At 43.1% G+C, this 18,949-nt stretch overlaps 1 protein-coding gene across 3 annotated transcripts in view, besides 1 other annotated feature; it reads left to right on the top strand.

Annotated features, from left to right (window-relative positions):
* FHL2 (four and a half LIM domains 2) overlaps positions 1–18,949 on the top strand; it is an 80,818-nt gene that overhangs the window by 9,553 nt on the left and 52,316 nt on the right. The gene's annotated exons all lie outside the window — the stretch shown is intronic.
* Positions 1,067–1,568: an enhancer, noted in NCBI's record as "NANOG hESC enhancer chr2:106043866-106044367 (GRCh37/hg19 assembly coordinates)". NCBI's record gives its function as "activates a minimal SCP1, AML or CMV promoter by ChIP-STARR-seq in naive H9 embryonic stem cells {active_cell/tissue: H9 hESC(naive)}" and the evidence as "EXISTENCE:reporter gene assay evidence [ECO:0000049][PMID:30033119]".

Raw genomic sequence — 18,949 nt, 5'->3', positions numbered from 1 at the left:
TCACCCCATCTCCAAATATATTATTGACTTTTAAGCAACCACAGACGTTTGATAAAAGTAGGTTACAAAGTAAAAATGAAAGCCTAGCATGGGGACAGGCCATGACATGCCTCCCATCCAACAGGGTGTCTGTACAGAGTACAGAGCAGCCGCCAAGGGCAGACCTGGAAGCAGGATCCCCACAGTAAGAGGAGCAGGTAAGGAAGAGCTGAGGCGGCCTAGCTCAGAGTGCTCCAGTGAGGGACACAGGGTCCGGGCACACAGGTGACCAGGGAGAGCGTGGCAACCCAGGCCACAACAGATAGAAGCTCCAGGAACCAGCCTAGCAAGGTGGCAGAACAAGCTGACCCACACGAAGCCAAGGGACAGGGCAAGCATGGTCATGGGGCAGCCATGGGCGGGCCTGTCCGCAGGAGAGGGTAGTAGACGGTCCTCCGAGTCAGGCTGGCGGCCTATGAGGAGCCCAACCTCTCAGGGATGGAAAGATCCCGAAGGTAATTCCAAGGCCCAGCAAACCAGCCAGGTTTGATCCACCAGGGAGGGAGCAAGTCAACAGGACATGAGAATTATTTGGGTACAAAAGAAGTGGGGTTGCAGGGAAACTAGAAGCTGGAGATGAGCTGTAGTTTGGGGAAGATGGGGTGTTCACAGCTCAGCAAGCCCCTGGCTCCCAAATCTGTGTCAGCTGAGCTATGTCCAGACCTCACCTATGGGTGGCACGGGCCGCCCTTACACATATACGCATACCTCCACTCACTTGGGGGTGGCTCAGGGCCTCCAGGACTGGAATCTAAAAGGACCTTTGTTCCTCCAGGTGGGAAAGACTAGGGGCCACCCTCAGCAGGCTTCTAGTTGACTGAGACCTTTTATGACCATGAGTTCTCAGAACAGGATTACTTACCTGGTACCCAGTTGCTTTGATCCTTTGCTTAATGTGAGCATCACAGTGTTAGAAATCAGAGGTGAATTTACATGGGCTGTGTGTTTTTGTGACAAAGCAATAAGAATAAAGTAGACTGCATACTCTAGACATACTTTCCTCAGTTATTCATACTTAGAGTGACTATTGAATTTATGGTCCAAACTGAGGCACTTTTGAGAGCACTTTTAATAAGTATGTGAGGTCCACAGGTGTAACTGCTGGTTCTCGGGGCCCTGTCAGAGGGGGTCCCTTCTCTGAGCCCAAAGCCTCACACCCAGGCACCCAGGGCCTAGTGAAGCTGCCTTAGCTGTAAGCACAATGGTTTAGAGGGATTATTCAACATCTAAATGCTTGCCTGCAACCTCAAACACTCTCATTCCTTTCACATGCAAGACAAGAAATGCTGAATAAAGTTTCTTTTGAGGCAGACCAATGATGTAACTCCCTCACAAGGGCCTCTGTTCGAAAGTCAGGGACACGTTTATCCTATTGATTATTGACATTTGAGAGTTGCACCTCCATCCCCCAAGCCCCGGAGCTCACTTTTCTTTTGTGACATTGTTCTAAATTGAGGTGCTTTTCTGCTGCCCTCTCCACATGTTCACAAGACACTCTCTCTTGTCCAGACTTCACTGAAACAGAAGTGTTTCAAGCTCCGGGTGAGTTTCATAGTGCATATCATGGGTCATGAAATCAGTTCAGTGGATTGAGATCAGCATATTTTTAACAACAAAATGAAATTGACTAGAGCAGGAAAAAATAGAATTAAAGGGAATAGAATGCTTTTCACATAGTAAGAAATTCTTTCCAGAATTTTTTCATGACAGTATATTTTTCTAGCATTAAATGTGAGGGTGATTGATGTGGTTATGATGTAAAAAATGTACTTCCTGGTGTGGGCAGCCACCAAAATTTGCAGTCCCCTGCTATAAACCATCTTTGCAGGTTTTCTTTTTCCTTTCGCCTGGATTCTTACAGTGCCAAGGGCGGCTCTCTTACTCCTACACACCCCTCTCAGGCATCCTCCATTCTCTGCAGATGGCTTAGTTTGATCCTTTAGGCTAGAGCCAACGAAATGCCTTCCTATTTGATCAGTTCTATCAACATAAGTCTTTATCGAAAAAGGAAAAGAAAGAAAAAGCCAAAACCTTGCACCATTCACCAAGGAGTGATAAGGGCCATGTGAGTAGAGATCTCTGAGAAGCTTCAAAGCAACCCGGCTAATTCTCAGCAACCCCACACCTCCTCGGCAGCATCTGCACCCCAGCACTATTTGTGCCTAAGTGTGGGAGTGCTGGGTGTTGCTGTGCGTGTGTTCTCATGCACCTCCCTTCTGTGCCACAACATAAGTGGAAAATATCTCCGCCTGAGTGCCTGGCCCCCCTTCTGCATTGTTTCGGGGTCTTTGCAGCAGCACAGGGGCTTCTAGCCTCTTCCTGTAATTTTGCAGAAGGTAGGTGCAGGAGTGGGGAGCCCTCACATCAAAGGCTGCCTTCCAGGACTGCTGGCTCAGGGAAGGGAGGAGGGTGACCCTGGTGCAGAGCAGAAGAGAGCGACCCTAGGCAGGATGTCTGGAAGGAGAGATAAAAGCAAACTGCAAAGGTATTTTGATAGACCATGCTGTTTCCATTCTTTACCATGTGTTTTTCATTCTGCTTTTGGTTACTTTTGACTTGAATTATGGAGCCTGGTTAAGGTAACATAGATGCAATTACTTTTATACGTCAAAAATGAATACTGACTTTTCCTAGTGGGGCTGGGGGTGATGGGAAGTGGCTAAGACAGAATGCACATTGCCTTTTAGAAAGCTGGAAAGTTCTTTTCTTCTCACTTCCTTATGGCAGCAGAGAACCTGTTTTTCCAAGAGCTAAGAGCACTTTGACAAATGCACCGGGTAAAAGCTTGCATGCAAGATAGAAAGACACCCCCGATGATGACATAGTGTGGCCATTACATTGCCGAAGAGGAAGCAAATACCAAATACATCTATATTATATATGAAGGAGTGGCCTGCCCCTCCACACCTGTGGGTATTTCTAGTTGGGTGGGACGAGAGACTGAGAAAAGAAATAAGACAGAGAGACAAAGTATAGAGAAACAATAGTGGGCCCAGGGGACCGGCGCTCAGCACACCAAGGACCTGCACCGGCACCGGCCTCTGAATTCCCTCAGTTTTTATTGATTATTATTTTCATTATTTCAGCAAAAAGGAATGTAGTAGGAGAGCAGCGTGATAATAAGGAGAAGGTCAGCAAAAAACATGTGAGCAAAAGAATCTATGTCATAATTAGGTTCAAGGGAAGGTACTATGACTGGACGTGCACGTAAGCCAGATTTATGTTTCTCTCCACCCAAACATCTCAGTGGAGTAAAGAATAACAAGGCAGTATTACTGCAAACATGTCTCGTCTCCCGCCACAGGGCAGCTTTTCTCCTATCTCAGAGTTGAACAAATGTACAATCGGGTTTTACACCGAGACATTCAGTTCCCAGGGGCAAGCAGGAGACAGTGGCCTTCCTCCATCTCAACTGCAAGAGGCTTTCCTCTTTTACTAATCCACCTCAGCACAGACCCTTTACGGGTGTTGGGCTGGGGGACAGTCAGGTCTTTCTCATCCCACAAGGCCATATTTCAGACTATCACATGGGGAGAAACCTTGGACAATACCCTGCTTTCAAGGGCAGAGTTCCCTGCGGCTTTCTGCAGTGCATTGTGCCCCTGGTTTATTGAGACTAGAGAATGGCAATGACCTTTACCAAGTATACTGCTTGTAAATATTTTGTTAACAAGGCACGTCCTGCACAGCCCTAGGTCCCTTAAAACCTTGATTTTATACAACACATGTTTTTGTGAGCTCCAAGTTGGGTCAAAGTGGCTGAGGCAAAGTGGCTGGGGCAAAGCTACAAATTAACAACATCTCAGCAAAGCAATTGTTTAAAGTACAGGTCTTTTTCAAAATGGAGTCTCTTATGTCTTCCCTTTCTACATAGACACAGTGACAGTCTGATCTCTCTTTCTTTTCCCTACAATATATATATACTTTAAGTTCTGGGGTACATGTACGGAATGTGCAGGTTTGTTACATAGGTACACATGTGCCACGGTGGTTTGCTGCAACCATCAATCCATCATCTACATTAGGTATTTCTCCTAATGCTATCCCTCTCCCAGGCCCCCACTCCCTGACAGGTCCTGGTGTGTGATGTTCCCCTCCGTGTGTCCATGTGTTCTCATTGTTCAACTCCCACTTATGAGTGAGAACATGTGGTGTTTGGTTTTCTGTTCCTGTGTTAGCTTGCTGAGAATGTTCCAGCTTCATCCATTTCCCTGCAAAGGACATGAACTTATCCTTTTTATGGCTGCATAGTATTCCATGGTGTATATGTGCCACTTTTTCTTTACCCAGTCTATCATTGATGGGCATTTGGGTTGGTTCCAAGTCTTTGCTATTGTGAACAGTGCCACAATAAACATATGTGTGCATGTATCTTTATAGCAGAATGATTTATAATCCTTTGGGTATATACCCAGTAATGGGATTGCTGGGTGAAATGGTAATTCTAGTTCTAGATCCTTGAGGAATAGCCACACTGTCTTCCACAATGGTTGAACTAATTTACACTCCCACCAACAATGTAAAAGTGCTCCTATTTCTCCACATCCTCTCCAGCATCTGTTGTTTCCTGACTTTTTAATGATCAGCATTCTAACTGGCATGAGATGGTATCTCGTTGTGGTTTTGATTTGCGTTTCTCTGATGGCCAGTGATGATGAGCATTTTTTCATGTGTCTGTTGGCTGCATAAATGTCTTCTTTTGAGAAGCGTCTGTTCATATCCTTTGCCCACTTTTTGATGGGGTTGTTTGTTTTTTCTTGTAAATTTGTTTAAGTTCTTGTAGATTCTGGATATTAGCCCTTTGTCAGATGGCTTAGATTGCAAAAATTTTCTCCCATTCTGTAGGTTGCCTGTTCAACTCTGATGATAGTTGATTTTACTGTTCAGAAGCTCTTTAGTTTAATTAGATCCCATTTGTCTATTTGGGCTTTTGTTGCCATTGCTTTTGGTGTTTTAGTCATGAAGTCTTTGCCCATGCCTATGTCCTGAATGGTATTGCCTAGGTTTTCTTCTAGGGTTTTTATGGTTTCAGGTCTTATGTTTAAGTCTTTAACCCATCTTGAGTCAATTTTTGTACAAGGTGTAAGGAAGGGATCCAGTTTCAGCTTTCTGCATATGGCTAGCCAGTTTTCCCAACACCATTTATATAATTGGGAATCCTTTCCCTATTTCTGTTGTTTGTCAGGTTTGTCAAAGATCAGATGGTTGTAGATGTGTGGTGTTGTTTCTGAGGCCTCTGTTATGTTCCACTGGTCTATATATCTGTTTTGGTACCAGTACCATGCTGTTTTTGTTACTGTAGCCTTGTAATATAGTTTGAAGTCAGGTAGTGTGATGGAAGTAAATACCTTTAACCAGAAAGACAAGACACAGAGATAAACATTCTTCCTGCTACAGAAATATGGTGGATTCCTCAATGGCTGTGATCTTTGAAAAGAGAAGCAACTGTTGTCTATCAAATAGCTAAAAATACTGTTAGAAGTATAAATATGTCCCCTGATATTGTCAGAAGTTTCATCGAAGCCTCAGGCAAGCAAAATGTGTCCTCTGTTTGTACCTCAATCTCTACTCCTGCAAAATGCAGATAATTATACCAGTAAAGGACTATTGTTAGAGTTGATGCAATAGGTTTATGAAATCTTCAAGTGGCTTGCAAATAATTCAAAATCGAACTGTAATTTCCAATCATTCTAAAAGCTTCATGTTTCATTTTTTGGAGACATTATTGCTCTGTTGGCTTTTTCTAACATATGGGTATCACTGACAGCCTCCATTCTGTACTAAAATCTAGAAGAATCTTCATTCCTCTGGGGGCAAACATCAGAGAGAGGAATGGAAGAGCTGCCCCAGGGACCTGACGCTTGATACCACTTCCTGAGTCAGGCCCAATGCAAGCATCCTCAGCTTGCTTTCCACTATGAGGGAGTTGTAATGGGTTCCCATGCCGTCTGAGCTGCAGGAAAAGGAAAGAAGTGGGAGAGTAAATTAGTGTTCTGACATTATTGACGGAAGACTTTACTCTCGTTTCCTAGTTATCTGAGAGGTACAGTGTCTATTGAGTAAAACTGTCAGAACGAAAAACAGTGGTTCTGCAATGATTTTGGTATCTTGTACAATGCAACCTGTAGTATAACTGATACAGACAATCCTTTTCTCAATCAAGTAATCAATTGATAAAATAAACAGGACAAAAAAATCAACCTAAAGATGCAATCTCGTGGCAGTATTAAACTCCAGACAGTATTTAATTTTGATTTCTCTCACCTGGAGCATTTTTTTTTTTTTTTTTTTGCCAGAGATGAATCACATCTGTCACAACAATAACAACAACAACAAATTAGCGGAAAATTGATTTTCATGGTCCTGTTGTCTCTAAGTGGCTTGTGGTTTAGTTTGTAGATCATGTCTTATCTAGAGCTATAATCCTATAATGAAAAAGTAAATTAAACCAAGAGGAAACTATAAATAAAAAAAATATTTCTCTTATATGTGATCCACTATTCCCATCACAGTTTTGCTTCCTAAGTAGTTTTGTCTTATCTGAGAAGCACCAAGGATCCATCCACATAGGGCCCCTGCAATTCCCATGCACATGACATGCACCTCCATATGCATCTTGCCACCAACTTGAGAATGCCAGGAGCTGGTTGTGGTTCACAAGGCATGGGAGTTCTTGCCATTCTCACCAATAACACCAGCATCTTGAAAACCCAAAGCATAAAAGCAAACAAGTTACAAACATAAGCAAACCAACACATCTTCAAGCCAAACAGCTGTTTCTTACTATGGCTTTTCCTTTCTGGTCCACAACGCGGCCAAGATTGCTGCTGGACATGCATGGTGTTGGAGGACTTGCATGTATGTGGGGAAGGACTGCCCTCCACCGTGATTCTTTCCTAGGGCAACTCCTCTGAGCTACGCTGCCAATGCACGCAACAGGACCCCAGGAGGGGCAAAAAGCTGATGGGAACAAAAAGATGTACCAGTGAACTCTGGTCTTAATATAAAACTAGCATGGTGGGTAATAGAAACATCTTTTCCATTAAATCAAAGAAACAGATCTGGAAAACTAAATCCTAGAATGTTGAGTCCCTGATGGCAGAGACTGCATTGCAAGCTCATGCATGGAACTGTGCCCTCTGCATCACAGAAGTGCCTCCATTTGACAGTTACGATATCAGTGTCATGAGGCTGGGATACCTCTCTTGGTCAATGCAAGCCATAGTATAACTGAGCTAGACACTTTCTCAATCAAGCAGCCTTTTGATAAAGAGGACACAAAAATCAACCTAAAGATGGAATTTGGTGGCAGTGTTAAACTGCAGACAGTATTTAATTTTGATTTCTTTCATCTGGAGCATTTTGTTGCCAGAGATCTGTCACAACAACAACAACAACAAAAAATGGGCAGAAAATTGATTTTCATCATCCTGATAGCATTTGTCCTAGAGACAGCATTTGTGTTAAGAGAATAGTGTTTGTCTTTTTGATCAGGAGAGTTGAGCTTATGGTCTTAACTTCAGGCATTGGGCCTTCTGTAGCGTGCTTGTGAATACTCCACCCAGCATCTACACTCCAGTGACCAGGCTTTTGGGTTGCTGGTCTTTGAACTTTGGCCTGTAACCTCAAGCAGGGCAGAACATTGCCACAAAGCCCCAGATCACTGACACCAAATCAAATTTGTGTGGACTCTGTCCCAGACATTCCATGTGAAACTGGCTGTCCTTACAAGCCAGAGAGAACCCAGTGACGATGGGACCAGGGACAGTTCACTTTCTTCCCATTGGATTACCTTCTTTATCAAGGGAGCACTGGACCACATGGAGTCTGACCATAAACTGCATCTGTCTCATGAGCTGGATCCAGTATAGGACAGGGACACTGGGCCACCACTGGCTCTGTACAACCCCAGTGCCCCATTCTCATGGTGTGGATGGAGCCCCGTTTTCTCCTAAAACTTGTCCCACTAGTTCAGGGGTCCCCAGTCCCCAGGCCATAGACCGGTACTTGGTTCATGGCCTGTTAGGAACCCAGCCACACAGCAGGAGGTGAGCAGCAGGCGAGAAGCATTCCCCACTGAGCTCCACCTCCTGTCAGATCAGTGGAGGCGTTAGATACTTACAGGAGCATGAACCCTAATGTGAGCTGCACATGTGAGGGATCTAGGTTGCATGCCCCTTGTGAGAATCTAATGCCTGATTATCTGAGTTGGAACAGTTTCATCCTGAAACCCTCTGCCCCCCACCTCCCAATTCATGGAAAAATTGTCTTCCACAAAATGGGTCCCTGGTGCCAAAAAGGTTAGGGATATCTGCACTAGTTCCTCCTCGCCATCCCTCTCTCTGCCCCACATCTGTTAGATTCTTCCTCATGTTACTATTAGTTATGAATAATTTGCTACTATTATTAGTGAAGGTGTTATGGGTTGAGTGTCTCTCCCCCAAATTGATATGCTGAAGCCGTAACTCCTAATAACTCTATGGCCTTATTCGGAAATGGGGTTGTTACCGAGTAATTAGTTAAGAGGAGGTCATTAGGGTATCCCTAATCCAATATGAGTGGTGCCCTTGTAAAAGGGGATATTAGGGGGACATTTGGGCAGACGCACACACAGGGAGATACTATGTCCACGTGAAGACAGAGATCAGGGAAGTGAGTCTACAAGCCAAGGGATGCCAAAGATTGCCAGCAAACCACCAGCAGCTAGGGAGAGGCATGGAGCAAATGCTCCCTCACAGCCCTCAGAAGGGACCAACCCTGCTGACACCTTGATCTTGGACTTCCAGCTTCCAAAACTTGGAGACAATAAATTTCTGTTGTTTAAGCCATCCAGTGTGTGGTACTTTGTGATGACAGCCCTGGCAGACTAACACAATGGGGCATTGGGTGGCTTATCTTTGAGCAAATGAAGAACTGAATCCAAGCAGTCACTTCTCCTCTTGAGACCTTGGCCAATGCATCCCCTCCCACCCTCAACTGAACACTTTCCCTTAATGACAATGCATGTTCAGTCATACTGGACTATGTAGTATAGGGGAGGAAAATAAAACTTTTCCTCAACCTTCTTCTGTTCCTTAGCTGGGGTCTGTTAATTACACTGGCAAAAGTGAGACCATCAGGAGAAAAGACAGACAAATCTTATTTTATGTTATTATTTTAATTTTTATGTGAAGGGACATTCATAGAAAAGAAGTGAAGAACCAAAGAGGCTGTTAGACCCAGGAGTTTATATACCATTTTAACAAAGGGTGATAAATTTGCAGAGAAGTAACAAAACAAGCAAAAAGCAACCTGGGCTTCTAGGACTGGGAGAGTACACATATAGGGGAACCTAATGAAAGATAAGGGTGATATTGGTGAGGTTTGTTTGTGCAGACCTGTCTTGGTGCTGACTTTCTGTTTCCAGTGACAAGAGTTGGTCTCCTCTTGGTATGGAAGATGGGAGGAGAAACACCTTCACAAAGGGAAATTTATGTCCTCCTTTTTCTGCATTTGCTGCTTCTTAATTGCCTTCACCTCAAAACAATCCTTATACAAATGATGCAATAGACTTTGGGGACTCTTGGAGAAAGGGTGGGAAGGGGGTGAGGGATAAAAGACTACAAATTGGGTGCAGTGTCTACTGCTTGGGTGACGGGTGCACCCAAATTTCACAAATCACCACTAAAGAACTTACTTACGTAACCAAACACCACCAGTTCCGAAAAACCTATGAAAATAAAAAAATTTTTTAAAAATCCTTATGCCAAAGTGGCATATTCTGGTGTGACATATTTTGGTTTGGCATATTTTGATTCTCCAGTGGCCTTCTATAGATCTACATGTCTGTCTTTCTGATGTATGGGTATAGGAAAGCCTACTTTGTGGACAGACATATACTAAAGAAAATACTTGTATACAAATATTACACACCAGTCTCCCCTTATCTGGTGGGGATAAGTTCCAAGACTTGCAGTGCATGCCTGAAACTGTGGATAGTCCCAAACCCTGCATATACTATGTTTTTTCCTGTGTATACATACATATGATAAATTTTAACTTATAAACTAGTCACCGTAAGAGATTAACAATAAATAATAATAAAATAGAACAATTATAACAATATGCTGTAATAAAAGGTATGTGAATGTGGCCTCTCTCTGTCAAAATATTGTACTGTACTGTACTTAATCTATTTTCAGCCCCACAGTGGACCATGAGTAACTGAAAGCGTGGAAAGAGAAACTGCAGATAAGGGGAGCGGGAGGAGGGCGCTACTGTATGAATAAATACACTTTATAGAGAGATATATCCTTGAAGAAGAAATAGAATACTCTATGTCTGCGCATACTTTATCCACAGTTGTATTCATAAAAATGTAAAGTGCAGAACGGAAACTGCTCACTAAATCAGCTCAACTGAAATATCTGGATAATTAGTGGTACCTGGTCTTTTGGACCCAGTTCTCATGAAATGTGCAACTCTGACCTACTTATGAGATTAAAATGGGTTTTTTGTTTTTTTTTTGTTGATGTTGTTTGACCACCTGGGTCTCTGAGGCTTATTTTCAATAGGAGGAAAATAAGTGGTTTCTGTTGGGGAGAGTGTTTCCCTGTGGCCCAGGTGGCTTGCCCTGGTGCTTATCTGCCTGGTCCCCACATCTTTCAAACCAGAAGGCCCAGGAGTTAGGATATCCAGCTTAACAAGCCCAGCACTATCTCAATGATGAGCCCTTGGCAGCCTTGGGTGGCCATTCGCAGAGTCAAAAATAAGGACAGATATGAAACACTAGCTATACAGACTGTGTCTGAATCTCCACCATTTACCCACATGGTGGAAAATACACTACCTCCAGTCCTATTACAAAATATAATGACTTCCCCAGCCTAAAGTGTTTTAATTCTGTGGTTCTCAATGTGTGGTCCCTATACCCCTGAGTCCTTTTCAAGGAGTTTTTGTGGTTAAAGCTATTTTTTTGATACTATTAAGATATGACTCATCTTTTCACTGTGTTGACATTTATGCTGGTACAAAAGTTGTGGTGGGAAGACTCCTAGTGCCTTAGCAGGAATCAAGGTGGTGGCTCCAAACCAAACTAGTAATCATGATATTCTTCATCACCAAGCAGTAGGGGGAAAAAGAAAAGCCCAGCTGCATTCCAGAATGACCTTGACAAAACAACAGTAACAATTATTAATGTTATTAAATCTGGACCCTTAAACACACACATCCTCTTTTTTTCATTCTTTCTTTCTTTTTTTTTTTTTTTTTTTTGGAGATGGAGTCTCGCTGTATTGCCCAGGCTGGAGTGCAGTGACACAATCTTGACTCACTGCAACCTCCACCTCCCAGGTTCAAGCAGTTCTTCTGCCTCAGCCTCCTGAGTAGCTGGGACTACAGGCACACGCTGCCACACCTGGCTAATTTTCTGTATTTTAGTAGAGACTGAGTTTCACCATGTTGCCCAGGCTGATCGCGAACTCTGAGCTCAGACAATCTGCCCGCCTCAGTCTCCCGAATTGCTGGGATTACAGGCGTGAGCCACCGTGCCCAGCAACACATTTTTTTTTTCTTTTTTGAGATGGAGTCTAGCTCTGTTGCCAGGCTGGAGTTCAGTGGCAAGATCTTGGCTCACTGCAACCTCTGCCTCCTGGGTTCAAGCGATTCTCCTGCCTCAGCCTCCCGAGTAGCTGGGATTACAGGCACGTGCCACCATGCCCAGCTAATTTTTGTATTTTTAGTAGAGATGGGGTTTCACCGTGTTAGCCAGGATGGTCTCAGTCTCCTGACCTCTTGATCCACCCACCTTGGCCTCCCAAAGTGCTGGGATTACCGGCGTGAGCCACCGCGCCCGGCCGCAACACACATCTTTTTAGTATTCAGAGTGATGAAAGGGAAGATGCATGAAGCACTTCTGCTCATATCAAAGAACTGTGACTGTCTTGAGGAAAGGAAGTTGTGCAGTGGCCCAAGTCGTGAGTTCAACAAGATGTTTCTTCCATTTTCACTTGGAAGAACAACTGACAGACAAAGCATACTTAGATTTTGGCAGTAGATATTTTCCCAAAAATGCAGAGTAGCCTGTCATTCTAAGGGAAACAACTGACAGTATTTGTTTTTGTTTTCAAGGATAAAATTTGAGTTTTCAGGTGAAAATTAGCATTTTGGGAAACTGTGAGTGTGGCAGCTTCCCAGTGTGTAAAAACTTTCCTGATTAGATGGATGGTGATATCAATTACTGTAATTTGTTAATATTGTATAATGAAATGTATCAGCATTTGGAAGATCTATAGAAGCAATATTTTCTAAATCTAACAAAACAATGTGTAGGTTAAAGATCTGTTTAAAGCTTAAGATAGACCAAATGGGCTTTAATGTAATAGAATATGAAAAGTATTGATGTGATTTCAGATTCCACATTGCAATCTTTAAGCAGTAGTTAAGAAACATCTCTTTTTCAAATTTTGGTGTAGAATCTATCCATTTATAGAGAGAGATGATGATCTGAGATGGCTATCAAGATATTTCTCTTTTCCAACGACATTTCTGTATAAGGTTGCATTTCCTTCATAAATTTCAACCAAAACCACATACTCCACAGATCGAATGCAGAAGCAGACATGAGCATTGAGCTTTCCAGCTGTCTTCTATTAAGCTCAATGTTAAAGAGATTTGCAAAAATTCAAAACCACACCACTCTTCTTACTAGTTGTTTTGTTTTGGAAAGTGTAATTATTTTTCATGAAAACATTCTATGTTACCTGTTACGGATTTAATGTTAATTTTAAATGAATTAATTTTTTAGCTTCTAAGTTTTATTTTCTAATGCAGTAAATATAATAGATATAACCTACATAAACAAAAGCCCTTTGGGATTCTTAATAATATTAAAGAGTAGATAGGGCTGTACTCTTTGAGGCACTCTTTAAGAACAGGGGTTAAGAGTAGCTGGTTTAATTAAACTTGAAATTGATTGAATATGGTTCCACACACAGTTTCAATTCTTGTTAATATTCCCCATCTATTCCTATTGTATAAAACACTGAGTCAAAGACGTATTTTTTGCTGAAATCATCTAGATAATTGTACCATATGGGCCATTTTCCCACCATGGGGTACCATTCGGTTCCAAGGAGTCCCTGGTACTTAACTTGGGGTTAGGGCCACAAAGAAATAACTTAAAAACACAGGAATCCCGGTGCTTTTAAGAAATTTGCATTGCTTACTTCATTTGTTTATTTATTTATTGTTGGTTCTATTTTAGGAACAGTTTTTCTTCAGGCTGTTTCCCAACACATTTTAATGTGATTTTCAGACACGGTTTTCGTTCTTGCAAACTGTGTCACATATTATTTCCCTGCCCATTGTGAAGCCACCTTCAATCTCTGTTTAAAAGTGTTATTGAATTTAATTGTTTAAAGACATTATTTAAACCACCTTTGCTGTGGTAAGATATGCTGATTATTTATTTACTTTATATTATTTTAGTTATTAACAGGTAATCAATGCACACGGTGCAAAATTCAGAAGCAACAAAAAGAGAATAATTAAAAGTAATTTTCCCCCTCCCTCCATTCTCTTCCTTAGTTCTCCCCAGAAGCAACTACTATTGCCAACTCCTTGTGCATCCTTCCAGATATTCCAAACATGTATAATAGCCACACATCCTTTTCTTACAAATGGTAGGATACTCCACACAATGACTTGCACTTTCCTCTTTCACTTAACACCCTGTCTTGGAGATTGTCCCAGAGAGTGAGATTTTGCCTCACTATTTATAGCGGTGTAGCGCTTGCTCCATTGTATGGACGAATGACTTGACTCTGCCCCTACCTATAAACATTTAGATTGTTTCCCAACTTATGCTACCTTAAAGAATGTTCTAGTATCTGTATACATCTGCGTTTGTGTACAACAAACATATACTAATATAACTTTAAGGATCAAAAGATATGTAAGCCAACATTACTTAGACTACAGTTGTATTAGAGAAAATTGTAAGTCATAGGTTACTGAGGAATTGTAAAGAAGCTGGTGATATTGTGAAACAGATATTTGGTCTTCTTTCAGTTTCCTGATGTACAGCTCCTAAAATCCTTTAAATCTGGCCAGGCACAGTGGCTCACACTTGTAATCTTAGCACTTTGAGAGGCCAAGGTGGGTGGATCACTTGAAGCCAGAAATTGGAGACCAGCCTGGCCAACATGGCAAAACCCCATCACTACTAAAAATATAAAAATTAGCTGGACATGGTAGCGTGTGCCTGTAACCCCAGCTACTCTAGAGGCGGAGGCAGGAGAATTGCTTGAACTCAGGAGACAGAGGTTGCAGTGAGCTGAGATCCTGCTACTGCACTCCAGCCTGGGCGACAGAGCGAGACTCTGTCTCAAAAACCAAACCAAACCAAACCAAACAAAAACCTTTAAATCTCTTGAGTGACAAGAGTACTTTTGTATGCTAATGAGATAATGGCGGCGGAGGGGGGGCGGGTCCTAGCTAGCTTCAGGATGGGGGTTGGTCACTGGAAAGAACAAGGCATGACTAGAGGGTTGGGACTTTCAGCCCCAACGCCAACCTCCCAGGAGGGCAGAGGGGCTCAAGGTTAAGTTGATCACTAGTGGCCAATGGTCTAATCAATCATGCCTATGCAATGAAGCCTCCATGAAAACCCTAAAGGGCAGGGTTCAGATGGGTGTCCGGATGGTTGAACATAGGGAGGTTCCTGGAGGGTGGTGACCCCAAGGAGGAAACAGAAGCTCCACGTGTCTTTCCCCATGCTTTGTTCTGTATCCCTCACAATATCTTCATAATACATGGTAAATATTAATAAAGTGCTTCCCTCAGTTCTGTGAGCTGCTCTACCAAATTAATGGAAGCCAAGGAGGGGTTCTAGGACCCCCTCCCCAACTAATAGCCTGTTGGTCAGAAGTATAGGTGACAACCTACTATTTGCAAGCGGCATCTGAAGTACAGAGTGGCAGTCTTGTGGGACTGAGCCCTCATCCTGTGGGATCTAACTCCAGGTAGATAGTGTCAGAATTGAATTTGAGGACACCCAGCTGGTGTCTTCTAGAGAATCGTTTGCAGAATTGCTTGGTATATGGAGGGAAAATTACCCCCATCTGGGGTCACAGAAGTGTTCTGCATTGTGAGCATCCAGTAGAAGAAAAACAGCTTGGGGTTGGGCGTGATGGCTCACACTTGTAATCTCAGGGCTTTGGGAAGCCAAAGAAAGACAATTGCTTGAGGCCAGGAGTTCAAGACTAGCCCGGGCAACATAGCAAGACCTTGTCTCTATAAAAACAAAAATTAAAAAAAGATTAGTTGGGTGTGGTGGAGCACCTGTGGTCCCAGCTTGTCGGGAGGCTGAGGTGGGAGGATCACCTGAGCCCAGGAACTTGAGGTTATAGTGAGCTGTGAACATGCCACTGTACTCCAGCCCGGGTAACCCTGCCTCTAAAAAAATTTTTGTAAACTGTTTTTTTTTTCTGATATCTTACAAAGTTCTGTGGTAAGTAGTGCTTAGCTTTGTTGTTAACTGCTAGAATAGCTCCAGGGAGCGGTGCTGTTCCTCTTTTCTTTAAAAGAGAGTGGAAAGAAAATAAATCGTTTCGTTAGTCTGACTAGAAAAAGAAATCAGGCTTTATGCTTCTTGATTTTGGAAATTTTTCAGTCCCTTTTTGTCAGGAGAGTGAAGAAATAGGGAAGAGGGTTGCAGAGAGGCTTTGCCTTTCTGTTTTGACTATTGTATTTCTTGTGCTGGTTGAGAAGGAGACGCTATGAAGATGGGTCATGAGAGCTCAGAAACTGATCGCTGCCTTGCTTCAGGAGGCAGCCTGGTGGAAGGGATGGAACCAGGAAACGTGAGCAGTCACACCAGTCACACGCTGTCCTCATTTGCATCCTGTCCTTCTACACCATTAACTCTGACTTTGAGTACATTATTTGCCCTCTCTGGGCCTCAGTTTCCTTACTGAGCTACGTGGAATTTCTTCCTTTTTTTCCCATCAGACCTCTTACATCACCGTCTCCACACCCTCCATTGTCACTGACCCTCAGCCCACTGCAATGTGCTTCTGTCCCCATCATGCCACTGATCACATTCAGACGTCACCAACAGCCACTGTGCTGCCACGTGCAACACACTCTCAGCACCCCCTGGCCACTGCTCCTCGGCTGTGTCAGTCACTGGCTTCACTGCCCCCGCCTCTGGCTCTTTCTCCTCATCCTTCCTTGACGCTGCCTTCTCAGCCACCTCTGCGGATGCTGCCCCCTAAACCTTAGGCTCCCCTGGAGCTTGACCTTCGACCCACTCCTAACCATCCACGTGCTTTCTTGCACGACCTCACTCACTCTCCTGGTTTATTTATTTGCTCTTTTGCTCTACTGGTTTTTACCTACCATTTGGCTAATGACCCCTATGTTCATACCATCAGCTCCAACCTTCTCCCTGAATCTCATCCTTCTACAAGTTTGGGAAAATTTTCTATTTGGATGGCTGTCCCCAAACTGCTTCTGTTTCAATAAGTCAAAATTGAATTCATCCTCCACCACCAGTTTGTTTTTTTCTATTTTCCTGATGATTATACCTTTTGGTTATCCAAGCTACCTCTGCCTTCTGGGTTCAAGCAATTCTCATTCAAGCTTAGCATAATGACCTCAAGGTCCATCCCTGTTGGAGCATGTGTCAGAATGTCCTTCCTTTTTAAGTGTGAATAAGATTCCATTGTATGGATGTACTACATGTTGTTCACGCATTCACCTATCTATGGAAGCCTGGGCTGCATCCACCTGTTGGCTATTGTGAATAATGCTGCTATGAACATGAGTGTGCAGGTATTTCTTCCAAACCCTGCTTTCAATTCTTTTAGATATATACCCAGAAGTGGGGTATACTTTCATATCTTAACCTTGACCGGAACTTATTGGAGTTTCATCTTTACTCAGCTGGCTCCCTCCCTTCTGGTCACACTGGACTTTAACCCTTAGAAGGGATGGAGTGAGATTTATTCATCTTGGTGGCATTGTGAGGATGAGTCACTTAGCAATCAACAAGTTTCTGCTCAATAGTTTCCCTCGGGCTCTCTACTCAATCCAATTACTAGGAGAAGGATGCCATGTGAACTTTTTTTTTTTTGAGATGGAGTCTTGCTCTGTTGCCCAGGCTGGAGTGCACTGGCGTGATCTCGGCTTACCACAACCTCCGCCTCCTGGGTTCAAGCCATTATCCTGTCTCAGCCTTCTGAGCTCACCACCATGCCCAATTAATTTTTGTATTTTGAGTAGAGACAGGGTTTCACCATGTTGGTCAGGCTGGTCTTGAATTCCTGACCTCAAGTGATCCGCCCGCCTCGGCCTACCAAAGTGCTGGGAACCATGAGAACTTTTAAAGTCAAAAAAAAAAAAAAAAAAAAAAAAAACCCTAAGTTCAGGACCATTTACAAATTCATCATTTCAAAGATGAGGATTCTGGGTGAGTAGGAAAAAAGAATTCCATCTAAAACCAGGAGTAAGAGACAAGGTTTATCAAGCTGTGCTTGAAAAAGAATGAGAAAAAAAAATTGTACATTATACTTTTTTTTAAAATTTGCTCAGTATGTGACAGAATTGACAGTTCATAGTATTCTTTCTAAAGTTACAATTTGTCTTTATCTTAAAAAGTTACTTTTTAAAACAAACTCAAAGATAATACTAGGAAATTGTGCTAATAACCTTTAATGCATCTACAGTTTAGGACGCAGTGGGTGTCAGTCTGCCTTAATTTTAGAATCAGTTTTTTGACTGAAATGAGAAAGAATGAACCTAAGGATTAGAGCGATGGTGGTTATGCACACACCTGTGTCCACAGAGGCTCGCTGGTACTTCTCTTATGTTGGGTCATATTACTGTTTCCCTCTCCCCTTCAAATTTCACAAAGATTCAATAAGCAAGCTGTAGATTCAGGGTGGACATTTTGTAAAGGATGAAATGGAACTGTAGAATCTTAAACACCTTCTATGTACTGGTCCCAAGGCATCTCAACTGAGGTTGGCTCTATGTGCAGCACTTGGCTTCCTAAAATAACTAAGTCCATTTTCGAATGTTGGCAGCTGTAACTGCAACCTCCAAGGTCCAGCACTGCTAACTTCTATCTGAAAGGATTACTCATGCCATTGCTCCTCACCTTAAATCTGGCAGCATTTTTTTTCCACCAGTGTGGACACCTCAGGTCTCCAGCATAAGAGAAACACAAGCTGATACAGGAAGACGCACATACCACACACTTCCCTCTGCTTGCCTGTGCCAAGAATCCTTCTCGTCTGAGAAAGACCAATGTGTTGGTTTTGGACACCACCACCAAATAATAGCATACGATGTGACATGTTTCCCAGAGATTAGCAGTCAAAACTTTAGACTTCAAAAGGCATCACCCTGCTAAATCTGCTAGTAGGTAGCTTAGCACCATTCGAGTGATATCTACCGAGAGACTGGTGCTGTTAGAGACCCTCCATTAAAATGGGTCATGGCCCCTGACACAGGCTCACATTCAGTTTAACTCTCACCTCTCCAACTGCCAATAGAATGGTCATGGACCCTCTAGAAGCAGACAAGAGAAAATAATTCATTTTGCAGCTATGTGGGGTTATCTGCTTGGGGAAAGCTGGTGTGCAAGTGAGGCCACTAGAAGGTGAAGCAACTGCCAGTAACCTGCCTGGGTTTAAGACTGCTCAGGTGTTCTCCTAGCTGGCAAGCTGCCTCTCCGGCCTCCGCCTGATTCCTTTTGGGGGACAAAGCTGTCCTGCTGACCTCCTGCTCTGAATCTGAATCTGATTCTGGGTTGGACCTAGGTTAGCAAACTTCTCCTGTGTCCCGATTCTGGTGTGATCCCTGAACTCTGTCTGGGTCCAGCCTTCTGGATGGCAGACTCAGCTTCCAGCTCTGCCTGAGTGTG

This window comes from Homo sapiens, chromosome 2 (genome assembly GCF_000001405.40).
Source record: "Homo sapiens chromosome 2, GRCh38.p14 Primary Assembly".
NCBI lineage: Eukaryota > Metazoa > Chordata > Mammalia > Primates > Hominidae > Homo > Homo sapiens.
Note: the sequence above shows the minus strand (reverse complement) of the source record. Positions and strands in the feature narration are given on the sequence as shown.